The sequence below is a fragment of the Homo sapiens genome, chromosome 4 (assembly GCF_000001405.40).
Source record: "Homo sapiens chromosome 4, GRCh38.p14 Primary Assembly".
Taxonomy (NCBI): Eukaryota; Metazoa; Chordata; class Mammalia; order Primates; family Hominidae; genus Homo; species Homo sapiens.
The window spans coordinates 20,589,068-20,613,804 of NC_000004.12; the positions used below are offsets into that span (position 1 = coordinate 20,589,068).

The 24,737-nt window shown below is 37.4% G+C and overlaps 1 protein-coding gene across 8 annotated transcripts in view, besides 1 other annotated feature; it reads left to right on the forward strand.

Moving 5' to 3' along the window:
• The window catches only part of SLIT2 (slit guidance ligand 2), a 368,657-nt gene that overhangs the window by 337,163 nt on the left and 6,757 nt on the right, over positions 1-24,737 (forward strand). For all 8 annotated transcript variants that reach the window (XM_005248211.3, XM_006713986.3, NM_001289135.3 and 5 more), the window contains 5 exons: positions 577-670; positions 6,630-6,767; positions 7,348-7,588; positions 9,198-9,328; positions 20,946-21,100. In XM_005248211.3, the coding sequence (XP_005248268.1) occupies positions 577-670; positions 6,630-6,767; positions 7,348-7,588; positions 9,198-9,328; positions 20,946-21,100 (759 nt within the window). The remainder of the gene's footprint in view (positions 1-576; positions 671-6,629; positions 6,768-7,347; positions 7,589-9,197; positions 9,329-20,945; positions 21,101-24,737) is intronic.
• Positions 183-785: an enhancer, noted in NCBI's record as "NANOG hESC enhancer chr4:20590873-20591475 (GRCh37/hg19 assembly coordinates)". NCBI's record gives its function as "activates a minimal SCP1, AML or CMV promoter by ChIP-STARR-seq in naive H9 embryonic stem cells {active_cell/tissue: H9 hESC(naive)}" and the evidence as "EXISTENCE:reporter gene assay evidence [ECO:0000049][PMID:30033119]".

Consider the following 24,737-nt stretch of genomic DNA (forward strand, 5'->3'; position numbering starts at 1 on the left):
TATAGAATAAGCCAGGCATAAAAGGGTACATATGGAATGATTTCATTTATGTCAAGCTCAAAAACAGTCACAGCTAGCCTATGGTCTTGTCATGATAGTGATCCTCTTTGCAGGGACCGGGGGGAAGGCTTCTGGGGTGCTGGTACATGGTGTGTTTCTAGATGTGGGTGCTGGTGACCTGAGTGGGTTCAGTTTGTGAATAATCATTACCAATTTATTCATCCTTTGGGTCTATGCTATATATCAAGAAAAAAAATCCAAAATAAACAACGCCATTGAAAAGCATTCAGATTTCCTTTTCCTAATTCCCATAGTATATTCTGAGGGTGCTCATATTAGTCACAGATCACAATAGTCCTGTTGTCCAAAATCACAACACTACTTAGCAGCAGACTCAGAATTGGATAATGGACCACCTGGTTCCATGCCTTGTGGCTTTTGTTTTGGGTTTTTTGCTTTGTTTTGTTTTAAATCACAAGCTGCCCTAACCTCTAAGACCCATGACAATGACACAGTCTGCTGGCAGGAAGCCTGTTGACCTTTTTCTATGAGCTAACACTGTTTGCCCTGTTGCAGGTGAGTTGTGTGAGGAGAAGCTGGACTTCTGTGCCCAGGACCTGAACCCCTGCCAGCACGATTCAAAGTGCATCCTAACTCCAAAGGGATTCAAGTAAGTCAAAAGCTACCTTTTTGCTCACAGTCAGGGTAGGGGACCCATTATTTTAGGAGCCCTTCTCCTCCTTCATCCTTAGCTTCACACCTCTGCTCAGGATTAAAGGGACCTATTCACTAGTATCAGTGACATTTTTTAAATGTCGATATACAATATGGACTTTTTTTTTTTTTTTTTTTTTTTTGAGATGGAGTCTGGCCCTGTTGCCCAGCTGGAGTGCAGTGGCACGATCTCGGCTCACTACAACCTCCTCCTCCCAGGTTCACGCCATTCTCCTGCCTCAGCCTCCCAAGTAGCTGGGACTACAGGCGCCCGCCACCACGCCTGGCTAATTTTTTGTATTTTTAGTAGAGACGGGGTTTCACCGTGTTAGCCAGGATGGTCTCGATCTCCTGACATCATGATCCGCCCACCTCGGCCTCCCAAAGTGCTGGGATTACAGGCGTGAGCCACCGCGCCCAGCCCCAGACTTTTTGTTTAGTACACTAAAGAAAAATGAAAAAGTGTTTCCTTTTCATCCATGATTTTTTTTGTGAAGTCACCTAAGGCAATGAGCAGCCTTTGAAAATGCTTACTTAAATTTATTTGAAGGCCCAACCGGTGACATTTGTAATGTCTTCTATGTGCTTCATTGTCTGAAGGTAAGTCTGTGGTAAAATAGAGAATTTGACTTTAATGTAATTGAAGATGTTACGGTCTGAAACAATGATTGGACTATCCAAGGTGAGAAAGATAGAGTGACCATATATCTCAGGCTGCCCCAGGGAGTCCCAGGCTATGCCTGTGATGATCACTGTAGTTATTGATAGTGTCTCTTCCAACTTAAATATTTTTTGCATGGGGTGACAAAGCATTATAATCCCGCTAAGTGTACTCCCTTAAGTGAACACAGAACTTCAAAAAACACTTCCTTTTTCCTCCCCAGCAATATTCCTGAAATATGTTTGCTATGAAATTACGTGATTTCTTTGCCACCATCCTGTAATATTTTAAGGGTCTTTCAACAGCAACTTCTCTTTTTAGAGCTGGCAGTAGTTTAGAGATCATCTAGTCTTCATTTAAACATGAGGAAACCATGGCCCGGAGAGGTTAGTTGACTGTCCAGAGATCTTAAGGTTATTTATTGGCAGAGCTAGAGCTAGGATTTATACTTACCAGTTGGGTGATTTTTCTACTATGTGTTACCTATAAGAAATTTTATAGTTTATTAACATTACAGTTGGTATTGTGTAGCAAATAGGCTGGATTCTTAGGAATTACACAGTCGGGTACAGGGGTTGAGCTGTGCTTTCATCAGACAGCTAGCAAATAGCATTATCTGTTCCTTCAAGCAATATTTATTGAGTGCCTGCCATGGCCACAGCACATGGTAATAATACCATCTTATGATTTTGTAGTCCTTTATAGCTATTCACCTTCACTTAATTCATCTTCTTAGAGAAATGACCCAAGCTCAATTGCCATAGAATTCAGGGAATTAACAATTACACAGGTCGGGATGAATTTTATAAGAGAAGATGGAATTTGAGCTGGATTGCTAAGATATTTGTACTTACCGAACAGATCATCAGATATTTTAAGTCGGGTGGGAGAGTGGGGTCAGAATCGCCAGATCCCCACTGCTTTTCAAATATCAATCTAAATTAAATATTTATTCTCAAGCTTTCTTTTGACAATGTGCTTTTGCTTTAATTTGGTTTAAAATCCAAAAATGTAGAATATGTAGGTACAGTTGTAGCACCTGCTAATTCCCTACAATGTCTTTTTGAAAAAGGAAAGAATAAATTTGATTCTATTTTGCATTATATTTTAGTTTACAACCCTAGGCAAAAACCCAGTGTTATTCCATTTTCACTTTATACAAAACTTTACATTATATTTTATTCAACCAAACACTGTAGGTAAGTTGTTTTTAGTCTTCATATCAATGATGCGCTCACAATTTAATTTGGCAAATTGAAAACACATCACTTACATAATAAATATCATTTCTTAGAGAAATTAGCTAGTAAGGAAAGTTTTCCAGAACTGCTCATCTGCTGAACAGATGTCACAGTACTTTGTGTATTGTAAGTATAAGATAAAGTATTAGTAAGACTTAACTGAAACTATTAGAAAGTGAGTTTGTCTGCAAAAAGACTAATCCTTAATTAAATATCTCCTCTCGCCATCAAATAAATTAGACACTCTTAAAAGTGCATTTTGCTGCATTATGGACTAACTCATTTGGAAACCCACTGTTTTCCATTATAGTTTGTAAGCTCGTTTCATAGCTGTATGTAGGTAGTTTAGCAGAAAACGGTTAGGTCAGTGTGTGTGCTGTTACTCCCGACATTGTGGGAAAGGTAGCTGTGGAAAGAAAATAGACGTAAAAATCAAATTCTGTGAAGCTGCTAAAGAAAATCTCTACTGACAAATGTTGTTTAGACAAGTTATGCTATGCTACTTCAACTTCATTTTCTTATTACTAAGCTAACAGAGCTGGTTTTACTTTTATTGCTTTATTATATACCTCATAAATCTCCCAAATTGCTTTGAGATATTTTTAGACTATGATATGCCATAAGCAGTATTTTCAAACCTGCATCTTACATAGCCAGCTTTGGGCTTCTAAACAGTGTATTTTATATTCTTTGCTTCTTCCTCTCTCCTTGTCAGATAATAGAGTTGAAGGAATGTGATAGGTTTTATTGATAATACAAACTCAGGAATTCTTATTTAAATTTTTCTTTCTGTTTTGAAACTCAGTCTGAGGAGCAAAAGAAAGACAAAAATGTTGGACATAATGTAACTCCAAGCTCTAATGGTCTTGAAAAATAGTATTTGGAGAGAAGGGAATATAAAATAGCTCTTAGACAGCCGCTATGGTGGATGTGTTGTTCTCTTATCTTTCACTTTGATTTCTTTTTTCAGATAAATAATTCAGAGTGTTTCAAAGCATTTCTTCTTTTTTTTAATGCTTGGCACTTCAACAGCTCTGCTCACATTAACATTGATGGAAGTTCTCTTCTCGGGCCTTGTCCATCTCTTTGAGAATGTATATGGCCACTTAGAGTCTATTTAACTTCAGACTTGTTGTTTACTTTGCTTTGCTATGATTTAGCATTAAAACCAACTGGCTGCAAAGCAAGCATGCTTATGCAGTGAGCTCATTTTATTTCTTAATTCATACATGCAGAGCTGAAAGTCTGTTTGCTACTCTTAGAGGCTATATACTCCCATTTGTTTTAATTCTTCCGCTCTCCAGCAACTCTCAAATCCTGATTTAGCATTTTCAGACAAAACCTTAGGCATTCAGTAATGCCACATTCACTTGGGTGTTTTTAATTATCCTTACTTCAAATCCTAATAGCTTTGAAATAGAAAAGTGGATAATTAATACAGACTAAACCATAAAAGCTTTTATAGAATTATAAAGACTATATAGAGAATTATTTTAAAAACCAGCCATTTATAGAACGTGCATTATATATAAAAACTATACTAATTAATTTACAGATGGATGCGTTTAATCTTTAAATAAACCTGTGAGGTGGAATTATATACGTGTTAAAGATGAGGAAAATAACACTTACAGAGATTAAGTAATTTAGTCAGTATTATATATACTTTATGCTAAGTGAAATAGGCCAGACATAGTAAGACAAATACCGGATGATCTCACCTATATGTGGAATTTTAAAAAGTCAAACTTATAGAAAAAGAGAGTACAAGAGTGGTTACCAGGAATTGGGGTGGGGAAAATGGGAAGATGTTGGTCAGTGGCACAAATTTTCAGTTACAAGATGAATAATAAGTTCTAGAGATCTAATATCACAGCATGGTCACTATAGTTCATACTGTATTATATACTTGAAATTTGCTCAGAGAGCAGATCTGAAATATTTTCACCACAAAAGGAAAAGGGTAACTATGGGAGGTGATGGATATGTTAATTAGCTTGACTGTGGTAATTATTTCACAATGTATGTATGTATAAAACATTACCATGTACATCTTTAAAATATAAAGATTTTATTTTTCAATTATACCTCAGTAAATCTAGAATAAAATAAAGTTGATAACATACAATTAAGAATGAAGCCGGGGTACAAACACAGTTCTGTAAAACCTGAATTCTGCAAAGCCTGAATTCTGCAGAGCTAAGTTATAGTTTTCTCATATATACACACATATATATACACATATATACATACACTGCTACATACACAATACATATGTGTGTATGTATATGTATATACACATGTACATACATATACACACACATACATATGTATGTGTGTATATATGTGTATATATGTACATATGTACATATTCTGCAAAGCCTGAATTCTGCAGAGCTAAGTTATACTTTTCTCATATATACACATATATATACACATGTGCATATATATACATATATACACACATACATATGTATGTGTGTATATATGTATGTACATGTGTGTATATACATATGTATGTATGTGTGTATATATGTATATGTATGTACATGTGTATATACATATACATATACATACACGCATATGTATGTGTGTATGTATATGTGTGTATATATATATATGTGTGTGTATATATGAGAAAACTATGACCTAGCTCTGCAGAATTCAGGCTTTGCAGTTATGTGTATATGTATGTATATATGTATGTGTATGTGTGTGTATATATATATATAAAGTCAGTGAACCCTCTCTTAAACTCAAATCAAAAACACTCTTGGAAGCCAATGTGTAAGCCTAATAAATCACAACAGGAGAGTGTTGAGGAAAAGGTGGAGGGTAGAGGGAGGCTTCCAGAAGACCCCTCCTCATAGATGGCCATACCTGTAGGGATTCTATGGTCCCCTATAGGTCCACAGTGCAGTTTGAAAACTGCTGCACGTGCCACACTGCCTTTCTTCATGCAGCTATAAAATCCTGCATCCTTGGTATCATAACTAGAGATCCCAGTGGTCAGCACTAGAGAAGTACAGGTTTAAAGGGAGCCTGTGGAATTAATTATTCAACAGCATAGTGCAGTGGTTAGAAATACAAGCTTTCTTGTTAGATTGCTTGAGTTTGATTCCTGGCTGTGGCACTTAGAAGTTGAGTGTTTGGGGGCAAAGTACTTCACCTCTTTGTTCCTTAGTCTCCTCACCTGTAGAGTGGGCAAAGTAATACCACGAATATCACAGGACTGTGGAGAGGATTCAGTGAATCCATAGAAGCCACATGGTTAGAGCAGGGCCAGAGGAAGTGCTCAGTGAATGTCAGCTGTATTATTACTCCTGGTTCCTCACCATCAATGCAGCCAAGACCCTTTACCACCATGGTGAACAGGCTGAAAACTGTCCGTGGGATTGGCCCCGTGAATTTTCTATCAGTTCTTCTATCCTAACCCATTATGTCAGTCCCGTTCTTCTATAATGAGTATCTGGATTCATTGTGAATTAGGGTATTTAATATTAATATATTTGCTTTTCTTAAAATAATACCTTGTTCTGATGTATCTAGTCTCTATTGTAAAATTAAAAATGTTAATCTTTTTTTAAATATGTTTAATATTTCCAGTAAATTTTACAACATAGCACTTTTATAATCTCAATGATCAAATGGATTAGGCCAAACTGAAAATATAGGGCACTGTAAGCAAACAAAATGGGGAAAAAGAAAGGAAGGAAGAGGGAGGAGAGTGGGTGGGAGGGAGTGACCCTGCTACAATTACCCTGTTCTTATTTGGGCTGTGGATGTTCACTATCAAGGAGATAAAATCACTATTTCTCTGGTAGATCACAGTGATAGAACATGGAACATACTGCAGAACAGTTCGATTTTCTAGGTATCCATTAATGTGGGGGCTCTATGAGCCTATTCTAAATAAGTATTTTAAAGATGGTGCCATTGTGTCTAGATAAAATGCATTGTTTACTTATTTTGGCTCAGTTGGGTTTGAAACCATTACCTGCTTGTTCCAACAGATGTGACTGCACACCAGGGTACGTAGGTGAACACTGCGACATCGATTTTGACGACTGCCAAGACAACAAGTGTAAAAACGGAGCCCACTGCACAGATGCAGTGAACGGCTATACGTGCATATGCCCCGAAGGTTACAGGTAAAAGCAGAAATGAATAAGACCTAGTGTTCAATAAGACCTAGCACAACAGGGTGACTATAGTCAGTAATAGTGTAATCGTACATTTTAAAATAACTAAAAGAGTATAACTGGATTGTTTGTAACACAAGGATAAATACTTGAGGGGATGGATACCCCATTTAACATGATGTGATTATTATGCATTACATGCCTGTATCAAAATACCTCATTTACCCCATAAATATATACACTTACTAGGTACCCACAAAAATTAAAATAAAAAAATTTTAAGACAAAAAACGTAGAACTTACAGAAGCAAAGAGTAGAATGAGGGTTACCAAAGAGGAGGACAGAGGGATGGTGTTTGGGGAGATGTTGGTCAAAGGGTACAAAATGTCATTTAGACAGGATGAGTAAGTTTGGAATATCTGTTGTACAGCACAGTGATGATTTTGTTTAATAGTTAAGAATACTTGAAAACTGGAAAAACAAGGAAGTGCACATATATAATATACAGTTATGTTATACAGCTCTCAATTCAGATTGGCAATTAAGTAAAATCGTATTAACTAATTTTTTTTTCTCCTTATTCTTCAGTGGCTTGTTCTGTGAGTTTTCTCCACCCATGGTCCTCCCTCGTACCAGCCCCTGTGATAATTTTGATTGTCAGAATGGAGCTCAGTGTATCGTCAGAATAAATGAGCCAATATGTCAGTGTTTGCCTGGCTATCAGGGAGAAAAGTGTGAAAAATTGGTTAGTGTGAATTTTATAAACAAAGAGTCTTATCTTCAGATTCCTTCAGCCAAGGTTCGGCCTCAGACGAACATAACACTTCAGGTAAGAGATCTCTCTCTATGGAGAGATGATCGGATCTTAAAATTCAGCTTCAGAGAATAAACATTTGTGGTAGCTTCTGAATGATTGATAGTATGTCTTAAATAGACAGTTAAAAACAGAAAATGCTCCTTGTGTGGACAGCGTTAGTAATTTTTCTCTTCAACATTTGTATTTTCAAGACAAAATGAAAAACAAATATTTTTATTCATTACTTGATAAGCAGACAGTAAAAAAAAAAATATGTCTCTTTGTTTTGTGCTCAGACAAAAACATTTGATTCATTTGCTTTTATGGCTCTGCAGTTCAGCCTCTGCATGGGGGAGGCTTTTCTTAGGAAATCTGCAGCTAGGAAGGGTGCAGGCGAGAAAGAACACCTGGATTCAACCACCAGCACCTTTTTTTTTGTTTTGTTGTTTTTTTTTTTTTTTGAGACAGAGTCTTGCTCTGTCGCCCAGGCTGGAGTTCAGTGGCGTGATCTCAGCTCACTACAACCTCTGTCTCCCAGGCTCAAGCGATTCTCCTGCCTCAGCCTCCCGAGTAGCTGGGACGACAAGCATGTGCCACTATGTCTGGCTAATTTTTTTGTATTTTTGATAGAGACAGGGTTTCACCATGTTGGCCAGGATGGTCTCGAACTCCTAACCTCATGTGATCTACCCACTTCGGCCTCCCAAAGTGCTGGGATTACAGGCGTGAGCCACTGCGCTCAGCCAACCAGCACCTTTTAACTCTTCACCCAGAACTTTGAAGAATTGACATGAAATTAACAAACTCAAATTTTAAGTCTTTCCACCAACTCACTGTATACCTTTAAGCAAGTCATTCAGATCCCTATGGAAGAAGCTGCACTAGATTAAAGATAATAAATATAGTGTACATGGGGCAAATTATGTCTACATATTTGTTTTATCTGATAAGCAAAATCATTTAATATATTTTTAATTCAAATGACTTTAGCCAGTTTCATGTAGACACCACCCCTTTTTTGGTTTACCCTGATACTCTAGTGAGGGACAGGGGATCCTTTTGAAGTCAGGAAGAAGAGAATCCTGGAAGGCATGATTCTCTACCTTCCAGTGTTTGCCCCACCAAATTGTTATGAGAACCACACAGTGATGTTGGGGCTTAAGTCTTAACTTAGCTAATTAATCCTTTAAAAGCCAAAATGGGCCAAAGAGCAGGATAAAAACAAAGATTTCCCCCTACACATGGCATAACTGTGAAGAATTTGTTGTTTTTAAATATGAGATATAAAAATCCATCTTTGACAATGTAGTCATTTTTCACAGATGCTATAAATAAAGCTTATAACGGGAGCAAAAGGAGCAGTTTAGCGAAAATCTGCAGCAAAGAAAGTTCTAAGCACATCCAACATGTTTACTTGAGGATTTCTTATTGTTCTTTTTAAGTTTCTTCATGGATTTATTTGCAACAAAGCAATTTAAGAACAAGTCACCTTTCAAGGAATAATTTCAGCATCGTTTTCTCATAGCCATCAGGAAAACATAAACCATAGTAAAACCTGTTCACCTCACTTAGCAGTCTCTTTCTGATCAAATACGTTTGGTTGCGTACACATCCTAGTAATGCCAGGGTTACTTTCTACTAGATTGCCACAGATGAAGACAGCGGAATCCTCCTGTATAAGGGTGACAAAGACCATATCGCGGTAGAACTCTATCGGGGGCGTGTTCGTGCCAGCTATGACACCGGCTCTCATCCAGCTTCTGCCATTTACAGGTGAAGATCTCTCAGTTACGGGTAAAGGTGAAAAAAATTGCTTAATGAAGAACTGCTTCTCCTCTATCATTTTATTATGGAGAGGAGAGAGACTAAGTTGGCCCCAGCAGGTTTTAGGATGAGGGTATTAGTGAAAAACCTGGCAGGAACAGAGGGCATACTCAAACTGGAGAGTGTGAGGAGGGATTTGTAAGGGGACTGCTATGCACAAAGAGGTGACTGGGATAGTATAGTAACCTGGGGCTGGAAACAAGGGATGCAGGGAGGTGTTGCTACCCATATGCCTGAAGGATCAAGAGGAGGGAGCAGTTATGGAAACTCATGCTCTGTAAAGGCTTTGTAGAGAGGCTTGCCTGCCAGAAGCCTCGACCTTTAATAGACGTTTGCAGTAAGTTCTCAAGGAAACAACCAGCTTTTGAAATACACAACCTCACTCTCTTTCCTCCCAACAATCTCCTGTCTGTGTTCCCCACGGGCCACACTGCATGCCGGGAAAGAAGGAATCTATAGACTCTAGTAATGTAGCTTGCACATGAGCTTCCTGGGGCTCAGAGCTGGGTAAAGAAAGTTGGAAGGGAGCTCCAGAGAATCAAATGAAGATATCCAGCACTGTGAGTAACTTCAGGTTGCCATTCATACCTCAGAGGTTTATTGAGCACTTACTATGTGCCAGACCTGTCCTGAGCTTTAAGGAACAAAGCCCCTGCTCATTTGGAACTTACGCAGAATAAGCAAATGGATTCATACAATGTTGTCTTAGGGAATCTTGACCATCCATTTTGGAAGTTTTCTAATGATTAATGATATTAATAATATACTGGAGACGTGAAATGGGTGGTATTCGTGGGGTATAATTTTTAGTCCTTATTGCATAAGACTAACTATCAGAGCCCCTCTGTTGGAACCCAACACCAATTCCCTAACATCCTGCAGACAATTTAGCTATTTAATTTTTTCACATGTAGAAATTCACCCTTTAGAGAAGGGATCACAAACTCCTAAGTAGTCAATTTTTCCAGATAAGTAACATAAATGATTAAAGAGGTCAAGTGCAAGAAAATAATATGCTCTCACCCTTTTATTCTGTAAAAGATCTAAATTTTTACATAAGTATTATTTTATTATAAATAGCCTTGATGTTGGCAATATAAAAGAAGTGGTTGTGACTGGAATGAACCAATAGTAAATATTTGTCAAAACAGGATTTCATCTACTCAGTTCTTCGTGGAGAAAATATGGACTTAGGTTTTTCCAAACTCTTGACTTTTCAGGAAAAAGGCAGAAATCTGGGGTTTTTTTAATATAAATTTTCTCTCCTTTAGATATCAGTGTGCATTTTTAATACTATATATAATGAACAAAACATATCTGTAGGTCAGACACACTTGGCAACAAAAGAATAGGCATTGATTATGACATAAAGTGGAGACACTGGCCTGCATGTTATTGATATTCTCATATGTATCAATGTGCTTTAAAAGTCTGCACATCTTATTTGATGCTTCATAATAGTTCTGGGAAAGTACAAGCCACTTGTAGCCATGAATGGAATTTGATATCCACCACTTGTGAATATTTGGAGCATGGAAACAAACACATAATTATTGGTTTCCAAGTTGAATACAATACTTATTTTATCTCCAAATGGTGATGAATTAGTGCCAAGATTTTAGATATTACGAGGCCTTAAATTTTCTTGCCTCAATGTGTTTCAGCCCATAAAAAGATTTCAGAAATTTGTGGTTCATTTTTTTTAATTTTTTTTTAATTTATTTTATGTAATGGTGCAGCACAGAACTCTCAGAAGCCATAGTAAAGGTTTTTGGTTTGGCTTATTAAAGCTAGCATTCATATCACATATGGCAAAATATTTCTAAATACTTTGTAGAAACCCAAGTGATTATATCCAAACAAGGACCTACCATAACGAGTTTGTTTGAGTTTATGTTCATTGCCATTTCACCTAACAAAGGATGGAGTGTATCTTGTGACATTTATAAAGGGACTATTATGTTGCATTTTTTTTTTTTTTTTTTTTTTTTTTGGAGACAGAGTCTCACTCAGTCACCCAGGCTGGAGTGCAGTGGTGCGATCTTGGCTCACTGCAAGCTCCGCCTCCTGGGTTCATGCCATTCTCCTGCCTCGGCCTCCCAAGTAGCTGGGACTACGGGCACCCACCACTATGCCTGGCTAATCTTTTTTGTATTTTTAGTAAAGACGTGGTTTCACCGTGTTAGCCAGGATGGACTCGATCTCCAACCTCGTGATCCGTCCATTTCATATTCTTTATTAGAAGCTGCAAGCCCATGTTTCTGGTGGTGGATCATCTAATAGAGATACAAAATGTGAGGCCTAGAGCAAATACAGCTTTAATTTAATTATTGCCTTTTGGCTTATGACCAAAAAAATTTTCTTGATTTTCCAATCCAGAAAAGCTATGACCTTATTTTTTAATAAAAGAGGCAACAATTACCAAGAATTCAGATATGTAGATATGTATAATACATTTTATTAACATATTAAATATAGAATATTATTTTTATATTGAGAAAATAATATAAGAAAAAAGGAAGAAAGAAAGGAAGCAATGAAGAAAAAAGAAGGAAGACAGGAAGGAAATGTAAGGAAGAACAAGTTCAAAGGAGATAAATATAAGCACTTACATTTTCATGTATTTGCACAAAGAAAAACTAGACACAAAGAAATAGAAACAAGACTTCTGCATGAATACCATTTTATATCCATTTGATTTTTGAGCCATTTCAATGTCATTACCACTCAAAAATAAAATTGAAATAATAGAAAAAGCTGCTGTTCTAGAGATAGTCTGGCTTGATTCAAGTCCAGCTCTGTTATCAACTAACTGTGTGTCTTGGACAGATTGCTTCAGCTCCCTGGGCCTCATCTGGCAAATGGGGATAACAAATAATAGTGTCCTTTTTGTGAGATTACGGTAAGAATTGTACGACATGATAAATGTAAAATATTTGCAACAATGCTAGGTAAACCATAAACAATGATGGCTACTGGTATCACAAATTCAGGATGTCCAAAACTGAATTTATTTCATTTGCTTCACCCAAACCTGTGTTCCCATTGCATTCCTTCTTTCATTGAAAGGCATGACAGGTGCAATGGATCTACTCTTAATCCTCTCCTTTCCTTTACCTTCAATTTGCAGTTTTACATAACTCTTAGCTCTGATACGGCTAATTTTTTGGCCTTTTTTCAAATGCCAGAAAATGCCAAGCAAGGCAACCTCTGTCCTGGGCCAGGCCTTTACTACAGTGTAAAATCTTTGATGAAAGATAGTACTTCTCCATCCCTGTAGTAAAATCTATCAATAACAGTGTTGCAATCAGCTGTCCCATTAGTTGCTAATAAATATTTTGTCTGGGTGAAGTACATTTTCAAATTTTGATTTGTTTCCACTTAAGTTCAGTTTTATTGCCATAATTCTATGTTATATAAAATTTACTTTGGTAAAACATTGTTTTCCAAATTTTGCATTATTTAATATATTATTGGGCCTTGCACTTGGAAATAATTTTATACCTCAGGTGCATCATTTCAATTGCCTGCTTAATTCTCCACATTGAAGAAAATTGATTTTATTTTAGCAAAATGAAACCTAATAAAATGAGGGGAAAGTAATAATACACTTATTAATTCTATAGGGTATTTTTGGTTAAAATTTATTTTATATGTCAACTATTGTTTCACATAAATCAGTATGAAGACAATTATTTTATGAAATTATCTCTAGACTGGTAATTTGCTGCCCTTCAAAAAGACTTTCTTTTAATCTAGATAAGGGGAAACATTTTTTACAAAAGTTAATGAAAAATATGTGCTTCTTTCTTTAAATTCAAATTAATGTCATTTTCCAAACCAGACAGCCTCTTTGAAAACACAGCCAACTATGTTAAAAGTTAAAAGACAGTAGTTAACATAGCTTGAAGTGTGTTTAAGAAAACTCAAGATGTAGTAATTATTCTTTTAGCGTAGAAATAAAGTAGTATGCATATTTTCTCATCTTATCTGTTACATCTGGATAGAAGATCATGGCTTCTTGTAGACATGCCTGCTGTTAACAGCACCAAGCATACAGGCAGTAGTGTAGAATGGTTGTTTCCAAAAGTCTGCATTGGAATCACCTGAAAAACATGTTAAAATACAGGCGTTGGGCACCACCCCTAGTTTCTGATTCTGAAGCTCTTAGCTAGACCCGAAAATTTGCATTTTTAACAAGTTTCCAGGAGATCTTGTACTCCAGGGACTACACTTTGAGAACCCCTTGCGTAAAAGGAATATGTACTTTGAGAGCTGATTGTCTGCATGTCTTCTCATATCCAAGTTCTACAACATCATGCTTGATGCTCACATTGAAATCAGCCATATTGGGAATATTCGCACCACAAAAATCAGCAAAGCCTACAAATCCAGGTTTTTGTTCTTGTTTTTTTTTTAACAGTACCAGTTGTTAAACATTTGCCAGCAACCTACTGCCTAAAGGACTCTAACCAGCAACATAGATGAAATGAGCTGCCTAATAAGGGAATGGATTTGGAATATGGCGCACGGGCCTAATATTTACAGCACTTAGAGAATAGCATAAAGAGGGACTTAGTAATTGTATTAGCCTGTTTTCACACTGCTGATAAAGGCATACCTGAGACTGGGTAATTTATAAAGAAAAAGAGGTTTAATTGACTCACAGTTCCACATGGCTAGGGAGGCCTCACAATCATAGCAGAAGGCGAAAGGAATGTCTTACATGGTGGCAGACAAGAGAGAATTGAGAACTAAGCGAAAGGGGAAAACTCCAGTAAAACCATCACATCTCGTGAGACTCATTCGCTACCATGATAACAGTATGGGGAAAACCGCCCCCATAATTCGATTATCTCCCACTGGGTCCCTCCCATAACACGGGGAATTATGGGAACTACAATTCAAGATGAGCCAAACCATATCAGTAATAGTGCCATGAATGAATGGAAAAATGAATGGCAGCCTAAATTTAAGCAGTAGGTCCTCAGACAGGGCTGGAGTATTAAATTTTTATTCTCAAGTAGGCTAATAATCTGCTCTTTCAAAGTGAGTTTCTTTTCATCTAGAAAAACATAAACTTTTTTTAACAAAAGTTATTATTGAAAAATATATGCTTCTTTTTTTAGATTCAAATTAATGTCATTTTCCAAACCAGGCAGTTTCTTTGGAAACACAGCTAGCTACTGTTTAAAAATAAGAAAATCAGATGGACCACCTTACTAGTGTACAGTTTTTCATATTTAGGCAACCTGCTCAAATTCAGGGGACTTTCTGTCACCTACTGTTACATTTGGTTGGCTACATACACTCTGGGTTGTGCAATTTACAGGCTTACATTTCAACAAAAATACAAAAGAAACTCAACAAAGATTATCTTTGTATCTGAGAAGTTCAGTCTCATTGGGGAGACAGAGAGTAGACAGAATCTATATGGTATTCTTGTTTTCAAGATGTTTATTCAGCCATTCTTGATATGCCATATGGAAAGTTCCCCCTGTTTACTAGCTTATAACCTTGGGCAGATTGCTTCATTTCTTTGTGCTTTATTTTCCTTATCTCAGTAAATGCAATTAGCTCTGCTTTTCATGTTTGGTTATGAGAATTGAATGAATGTAAAGCACCTAACATCGTGCTTGGCACAGAGTCGGCTCACGATATTGAGTAATGCTGATGATTCATGGATACTCTTCCTGCTCAAATATCTGGATACTGAAGAATAAATACCCAAGTGGGAATTTTATAGCCTGACATCTCACTGTACAGTATGTTCAAGTTTAGAGAAGCCTTTCTAGTTTAGTGAATTTTATTCATGTTAATCTGTTTTAAAAGTACTGATTAAAATATTACTTGAACAACTATTTTCTAAAGCTTTCTTTTGAAAAATTCTTACAGGTATATTTAGATATCTTTTCTTTTTGGAGACAGAGTCTTGCTCTGTCGCCCAGGCTGGAGTGCAGTGGCGCGATCTCGGCTCACTGCAAGCTCTGCCACCCGGGTTCATGCCATCCTCCTGCCTCAGCCTCCTGAGTAGCTGGGACTACAGGCGCTCACCCCTACGCCTAGCTTTTTTTGTATTTTTAATAGAGATGGGGTTTCACCATGTTAGCCAGGATGGTCTCCATTTCCTGACCTTGTGATCCGTCCACTTCAGCCTCCCAAAGTGCTGGGATTACAGGCGTGAGCCACTGCGCCCAGCCTACATAGATATCTTTAATCTCATTTGGCTTCCCATTCCTTTTGACTAAAGAGATAGGCAAGAATACTTTTAGTATCACTCCCACTTCACAGGTGAAGTATCATCAGGCCAGAAACACCAAAATGAGATGACCAGTTGAGTTTGGGTTCCAGTTCCTATTCCAAAGCGTGGAATATGTCACCAGATACTTTAATTTTTTTTTTTTTTTTAGATGGAGTATTGCTCTGTCGCCCAGGCTAGAGGGCAGTGGCACAATCTCGCCTCACTGCAACCTCCACCTCCCGGGTTCAAGCGATTCTCCTGCCTCAGCCTCCAGAGTAGCTGGGATTACAGGCATGCACTACCATGCCCAGCTAATTTTTGTTTTTTTACTAGAGACGGGGTTTCGCCATCTTGGCCAGGCTAGACTCGAACTCCTGACATCGAGATCCACCCACCTTGGCCTCCCAAAGTGCTGGAATTACAGGCGTGAGCCACCGCACCCAGCCCAGATACTTTAAAATTTTAAGGCAAGAAGTTGAAGCTCACATAAGGAAAAACAGTCTTTTATTAAACTACAGAAATACATTATGTTTATCATTGTTAGTGTGTTGTGTGTATGCAAAATAGAGAAAGAAAATCAGAGACATTTTAAAGCCCCTCTTTTAAGCCCCAAGTTTCTGAATTATTTTTCTGTAGCAGACCACAAACAGTTGGGGAACTGCTTTGTTTTCATGTATCCACTTCCAGTATATAAACTCAAGAAAACAAATCTCAGGAAATAGGTGAGCGTAGTAAAACTAAACCTTATAGTAACAGTAATAAATGCAATTCAAATTCCCAGTGGAAAGGCCCAAAGTTAAGTGGTTCGCTTGTAGTTTTTGTGAATCATAAAATATATTGTTCCCTAGGGAGTGGTGAAAGAGAGTTTATCAATACTTATCAGAACCCAAAAGGATGCCATGCATTACATGTGGGTATGTAGGAGACAGCTGCTATAGACTGAAAAGTGGATTATGGCTTTCTAGCTCAGGCAGTCTTACTATGTAGCAACTGATGTGTCGATCACTGCTTTTATTTTATTTTATATTTTATTTTATTTTATTTTATTTTATTTTATTTTATTTTATTTTATTTTTTGAGACAGAGTTTCACTTTGTTGCCCAGGCTGGACTGCAGTGGCACGGTCTCGGCTCACTGCAACCTCTGCCTCCCGGGTTCAAGCAATCCTCATGCCTCAGCCTCCCACATAGCTAGGATTACAGGCACCCGCCACCACGCCCAGATGATTTTGTTTGTATTTTAGTAGAGACAGGGTTTCACCATATTGCCCAGGCTGGTCTCAAACTCCTGAGCTCAAGCAATCCGCCCATCTTGGCCTCCCAAAGTGCTAGGATTACAGGCGTGAGCCACCACGCCTGGCCCACTGCTTTAATTTTAAACGAATGTGTAGACAAAGGATTCCTGGACATCCTCCAGTTTATCTCATGCTAGAAAAGACAGCAAGAAATACCAAGTTAGAATGTTATTAACTCTGAAAAATTCTCTTTAGGTCCCATGTGTAAAATACTATCTTAAAAACCAAATTGGCCAGTCATGGTGGTTTACATCTGTAATCTCAGCACTTTGGGAGGCCAAGCCAGGAAGATCACTTGAGACCAGCCTGGGAAACATGGCAATACCCTATCTCTACAGAAAAATTTAAGAAGTAGCTGGGCATGGTGGCATGCAGCTGTGGTCCTAGCTACTTAGGAAGCTGAGGCAGCAGGATCACTTGAGTCCAGGAGGCTGAGGCTGCAGTGAGCCGTAATTATGTCACCGTACTCCAGCCTGGCTGACAGAGCGAGACTCTGTCTCAAAAAAAAAAAAGGAATCTAAAATCATGAACTTTACTGTACTTACCTGTTAAGAGGTCAAGATGAGGCTTCATTTAATTCCAGGGAGATATAAATGGAATTAATCTCAATGATAAGTCTTGTGGAAGTTCTGGTGTGATCAGATTAGACATTTAAAGCTTTTAGGGAGAGAAAAGTATAGTCAGTCTATCTCACTCATAATCTCACTCATAATTGGGAAAATAAAATCCAAACTCAGTTTTTAAATCCATATAATTTATATGCATTCTTCAAACTCTTATTGTAAGATCATTACTTTTATTAACAATTCAGTGTTTTTTAGTAAATGAATCAAGTTTTGCTATCATACAAGGTAATTTACTATAGAACTTTATTCCCAGGCTATTTGGGACAGAAATCATGTATTAAAAGCTTGTTAGTGGTGAAAACACACGCCATTTGTCTAGGAATAGGTATTCCTCAGGTTTTTGATTGTAAAAGTAGTGCATAATAATTAAGAGCACATACACTTGAGCTGGACAACCTGGCTTCAGAACTGTTTAGCCACTAACTAGATGTGTCACCTTGGATGTCCTCAGTGCTCACCTCTTGTTGTGAAGCTTACATGAGGTAATACTTGTAAAGTTCTTAGTACCTGGCCCTTAGTATGTGATATATAATCCTTTGCTCTTCCTATTTGCACTTCTCTTAAAAGGAAGAAAAATCACCTAAGGTCACACTAACCAAAGATGACATGTCTAATGAGAGCTAGGACAAGCTGAGCAAGATTTATCTCTCAGCATTATCCTTGACGATACTGCCACTGAAACTTCCAACTATGTTTTATGAAATGAATTTTCAGAGGTCTTGTCTTAAACATGCTTGAAGTGTAATGATTATCTATAGATATCATCTAGGAGTATTGCTAAAAACAATTGATATATGTTATTCCTAATACATCTCTCTTGTATTTACTTACCACATATTTTCAGAAATAAATAATACATGGATGATATTTTAAATTAGCTTACAATTAGCAAGAGTTTAAGACATGTACTCCAAAAAAGAGTAAAAAGGAACAGAGGAGGGAATAAAGGAGCAATAAGCAAAGTGAGTTGATGATGAAACTACCTACCTCCAAGTTCCCATCTGACACACTGCATTAGGGTGTTTAAAACTGTAAAGTGTGTTAACTTAAACCACACAATTGTACTGCATCAAACACCATCATTGATGATGACATGACTGAATTGACTAAGACCAATATGTGACCAAGAATCCATTCCTTGGTAATATATGGGTCTTTTCTTTGCAATTTTAAAGAGAAATGGGGGGCCTCATTATTAAGATTTATTAAGGTTGATGTTGATAGGACATCCATATAAAACTACTTGGAAAGCTGTGTATAACCTCAAAGTAAAAAGGAATTCACTTCTACTCTCTCCATGTCTGTCTTTATTTTAATGTTTTACTTTAAAACTTTTAGTAACTTGAACAAGATGTGCCCCCAAAGAAGTTGTTATATTTCTGCCAGCCTTTAACATTATCTTACAATCAATATTTAAAATAAAGCTAAATTCTTTACTAAAAAAGATTCAGAAATGGTATTGAATTATTTGTATCATGATGATCGTGGTTGGGTGGGGGACCGATATGATAGTGATGGTGATACTAATATCTAACATTAATTTTTGCTATGCTGGGTATCTTTCAGTCATTTTACATAGTCCTCAAATTAACCATGGAAGGCAGAAATATTTATTAGCATTTACTGAAGAGAAAACTGAAATATATTAGTAATAAAGTAACTTATCTAAAACAAACACTTAATAAATGCAGGACCACGATTCGAATCCAGGATTATCTGACTACAGAGTCTATATGCTTAACCATTAGCCAATGTTACTACTTGGCATACCCTCTTAGAAGAGAGTCATATTTAAAACCACTAATGGTGTGCAACTATACTTATAAAATAATTTTCTGGTCTATTTTTTCCTCTGCCAATTGTATTGATGTTAAGTGTTAGGATAATTAAATGTGTAAAAGGCAAAAATATTGATTGACATATCTAACATTTAGTTTTATAAAGTTGTTTCCTGAGACAGGCTATCAAAGATTCCTGTACACGTGGACTCTTCTAACCACCTAAACAGAAAGAATGTCAAGTGTTTTCACAATTCTGCAGAGTGATTTCTCTTGTTCTCAAATCAAAAAAACGTTTTATTACCTGTCAGCATACAACGGAAGATGATTAGACTCCAGTGGTGAGAACCATGCAGAAATATGTTAATGCATTTTTCTATCATTCCCTAGACTTTGCCATTTTACAAATTTAAATATCAGTGCCTAGAAATTTAAGCAGTCATCTTGTATACAGAGTATTAAGTATTCACATTTAGGAATAATCTATCACATGCTCCCATGTTTCCATGTTGGAGCCTTTTTCAGTCTTCCCAGTATCCCAGCATGTTAGATCTTTAATAATCACCATTAACTTTTTGATCTCAACTTCCATTATGCCATGTTTTTCCTGTATAGGGAAAGGTAAGTACGTTCTTAACACTGCACCGTGTATTGGTCCTATTTCTTCTTTGGTCCTGTTTCATTGGTCTGGTTTGCTTTTTTGCCTGCTGTAACACCAGAGTTAGATATGCAACTACACTTTAAAACCATGTAAAACATATTTACTAATTGCACTCAACTTCATCTTATTTTTTAATCCTCATTTTCCATTTACCTTTCTTCATCTTTTTGTCTTTATTCACTTCATCAATTTCTATAAGCCCTTCCAAGGTTTTTAGAAGGTGACAGTAATAATTGTTAGACCTGGCCCTTGAAAATTATAGAAAAGAATCCAGACAGCCACTGTCATTGCAATATTTCCTAGATATCACTATGTTAAGCATTTTATTTAATCTGTTATTCCCATGTCTCCACTGAGCATAGATAACTTCTTCACAGCAATATCAGTTGATGAAAATGCACAGAAAGTAAGAGGATATTATTAACAAATTTCAAAAAGTACTGAGATCCCACCAAGTTGTTTCTCCTTGCATTTGTGTGTGTGTTTGATTCTGGTAAGTCCTAATCTACAGTTTTTTTTAAGAGCAGAAGCCAGCAGTTGCCTAAGGTCGATGTGTTAGGGTGTTTTTGGCACAGGCCTAGTTTCCTTGTCTTTTCGTACAATTTGAAGTAATAGTATCTTGGTAAATGGACCTTTTATGGAAGTTAAAAGCAAATGTATAAATTATCCTTTGAAATTGTTACATATTGAGAGAATGTGGCTGGATGATGATGAAATGTAGTTATTTCTACTTCTTGTCATAAAAGAACAAACTTATTTTGTATTCAGTTCCTGAGAAACTGAAATCAATCACATCTCCTTGAAAATGCCTATTTTTGAAAAAAAATTCAACTACTCGTCTTTATCTTCATTAGTGTTAGATTGCCATCTCTTTTCCCAAGGAGCACTTATCAAAGTTTGTAATTTAACTACCTTGCTTTAATGAAAAGAAAATGGAAGAATCAGCCATTTTTTTTTCCGTTGTAGTGTGGAGACAATCAATGATGGAAACTTCCACATTGTGGAACTACTTGCCTTGGATCAGAGTCTCTCTTTGTCCGTGGATGGTGGGAACCCCAAAATCATCACTAACTTGTCAAAGCAGTCCACTCTGAATTTTGACTCTCCACTCTATGTAGGAGGTAAGCTGTCTTCCAAATTCAGGTGGTCCTGAAACCCTGTGATTCTCATTATGGACGAATTCTGAAGTTTGTTAATGCCTAATATATCAGGATTTGTCATTGACCAATAGTGATCAATCATTGAAAGATGGATGGCAAAGACAGAACAGAAAGATCTCTAGGTGGGTGTTAAGGGATCATTTTATTATCCCATCTCTCTTTCTAACAAATGTGTCATCTGGGTAGAGAAAGACATTAATTAATATTTCTTTTGTGTCAATCACATATGCTAGGTGATTTATACATTATATAATTTAATCTTATATTTGATCTGGTCTATGGAAAAGGAAAGTTGGTTAGAGATTAAATCATACAATCAAGAAAATGATAAAACAAGCTTAATGCAAACTGGAAAGTAGATGACCCCACCCCAGCTCCCTTAAGGAGGCAAACCCTATCAGCTCAGTCAAATGTTACCATGCTGGAGCTTCTGCACTACCAGTTGCTAATTCATCTGGATGATAGGATAAGTATCACTGTAATCCAATGACTGACTGAATGAATGAATGAATGAACAAATTAAATGTACAAATTGTATTAGAATAACAATAAATAGTTCTGTTCCACTAAGACCTTAAGGTGAATGAACAAGAGAGAGGGTTGGAAAGGTAGGTTAGGACTTGAAATCATAGAGTGAAGACCCTGGGCTTTATTTTTAAGTGAAAAGAAGGCAGATGAGTGAATAAATGAGGGACAGAGATATAAGCAAAGTTCTGTAGGAGCCCATCGGAGAGGACCCGCAAAGGAGAGAGGTCCCAATCTTGCCTCTATTTGGAGGAACAAATATAAACTGGAGGCATAGAGTTTCAAAATTCTGGTAAAGGAGCCAGAAAGCAGTTAATGCTGAATTGAGAAGCATTGGATTAAATTACATTGAATTTATTTGAATTGACTGATTAACTTATTTTACAGATAAATAAGTAAAAGCTTTGAACAGGTTAGTGTACAATTTCATCACCATGACAGATATTTTCATGAGTTTCACATCATTTTCTGAAAAATAATAACCTATGCTACACCATTATCTCAACCACTCAAAGCCTTCTTTTCAGTGCCTCTAAGCCTAGGACATTTCTGTTTTAATAATTTCAGTAGTAGACAGTCTTAACATTTTGACAGAGTTGGATTGTTTTAGAAACAGTTGGAAGTCTTTGGTTCAATTCTGTAAATATTTATTGAGTACTTACCACATACTAGGAACTAAGTAAATGGATACATAAAGGATATAAAGTTGAAGAAGAAATGTCCATTCTACTCCCTAAAAAGTCAAGAATGCAGAGGCATCTTCAAGTAACTATAATGCATTATAAATAAAGTATTGCATAGTGAGTCTACTCAGCAAGTTGACTTATCTGATTGCTTCATGGGAATCACAGCAGAGAGTCTCATTAAAAACCAAATCTTCCATTCTTGCCAGCACTCCAGTTTACAGGGTTGCTTTTGGATGGGTGAAGCCAAGTCACAAGCATACCTGTGATTTGAGAGAAAATAAATTATATTTATTGAGCACATGCTATGTGCCCAACACAGTGCTCCTTTTATAGCCTTAATGTGCAGAGATCTTAGGAAATAGGTATGATTTTCTCTGTTTTGTAGTCCCTGAAGAGCAATCTCAAGGATTTTATATAACTTGTCCAAGTACACAAAGCTATTATGTAGTAGACACCTCATTTAAGTCCAGATCTGGCTGACTCCAAAGCCACCTGCATTGCCATTCACTTCTTCACATAAAGCAGAAAGGGAACAAATCTAAGTGCTGTGGCCTTTTGTTGTTTATTTATGGACTTTTCGTTCACTTGATTTTATTATGTTTTCATTAGAATCCACTTCATTAAATCTTTCGAAGCCCCTTTAGAATATAGTATAAAACCAATTTTAAAAATACAGGGGGCTGGGCATGGTGGCTCACACCCATAATCTCAGCACTTTGGGAGGCTGAGGAGGGAGGATCATGTGAGCCCAGGAGGTTGAGGCTGCAGTGAAACATAATTGCACCATTGCAGTACAGCCTGGGAAACAGAGCCAGACACTATCTCAAGAAAAAAAAAAAAAAAAAGAATACAGGATGAGACTGTTTAAGTCAGAACATTCCCCCGCCCCCCGCCAAAAAAAAAAAAGAGGAAAAAAAGTTTTAAATTTCAAAATGAAAAGTATTTATCCTTCTGAAGGTAGAGGGCCTGGAAAAATTCAAACAACACCTCTGTCCACCCAGGCCTCAAGGAAACCACTTTCATCCCAGTCCCACTGCCAGAGATCACCATGGGCCCACTTTCTCCCCGCTTAGAGTGCAGTCTCAAGGGTGACTCAGATTTTCAAACCACAAGGAACCTGTAAGACCACAGCCTTGAATGCTGTATGGCAAAGGCATGAGAAGCAGAGGGAGAAAAGGAGAGCAAGGTAACTAAGTTCTCTTTAAAAATAGTGACTACAGCTGGGCGCGGTGGCTCACGTCCGTAATCCCAGCACTTTGGGAGGCCAAGGCGGGTGGATCACGAGGTCAGGAGATTGAGACCATCCTGGTTAACACGGTGAAACCCCGTCTCTACTAAAAACTACAAAAAATTAGCCGGGCATGGTGGCGGGCACCTTTGGTCCCAGCTACTTGGGAGACTGAGGCAGGAGAATGGCATGAACCCAGTAGGTGGAGCTTGCAGTGAGCCGAGATCGCACCACTGCACTCCAGCCTGGGCGACAATGGGAGACTCCATCTCCAAAAAAAAAAAAAAAAAATTATGTCTACAGTGAGATACCATCTCACACCAGTGAGAATGGCTATTATTAAAAAGTCAAAAAATAACAGCTGCTGGCAAGGTTGTGGAGAAAAAGGAACACTTATATACTGTTGGCAGAAATGTAAATTAATTCAGCCATTGTGGAAAACAGTGTGGCGATTCCTAAAGACCTAAAAATAGAGCTACCATTCAACCCAGCAATCCCATGACTGAGCATATAGTCAAAGGAATCTCAATCATTCTATCATAAAGACACAGGCATGCATATGTTCATTGTAGCACCATTCATAATGGCAAAGACATGGAATCAACCTAAATGCCCATCAATTCTAGACTGGATAAAGAAAATGTGGTACATATAAACCATGAAATACCATGCAGCCACAAAAAAAGAATTGAGCTGATGCCCTTGGCAGGAACATGGATGGAGCTGGAGGCCATTATCCTTAGCAAACTAACACAGGAACAGAAAAACACATACTGCATGTTTCTCACCTATAAGTGGGAGCCAAATGATGAGAACACATGGACACAGAGAGGGGAACAACACACACTGGGGCCTAGCAGAGGGCGGAGGGTGGGAGGAGGGAGAGGACCAGGAAAAATCACTAATGGACATTAAGCTTAATTCCTGGGTGCTGAAATAGTCCGTACAACAAACCCCTCGTGACATGAGTTTACCCGGTTTGTTATACGGTAACACATAATACACTGTTGGTGGGGAGTGTAACCCTCATATACCCCTGAACTTAAGATAAAAGTTAAAAAACAAAACAAAAAACAAAAAAAACCAGGGATGCTGCCCAAGGAGGACTGCCTGAAGGTGTTGCCTCAGCATCTGGGGAGAGGCAGCCCCTTGGTGAGTA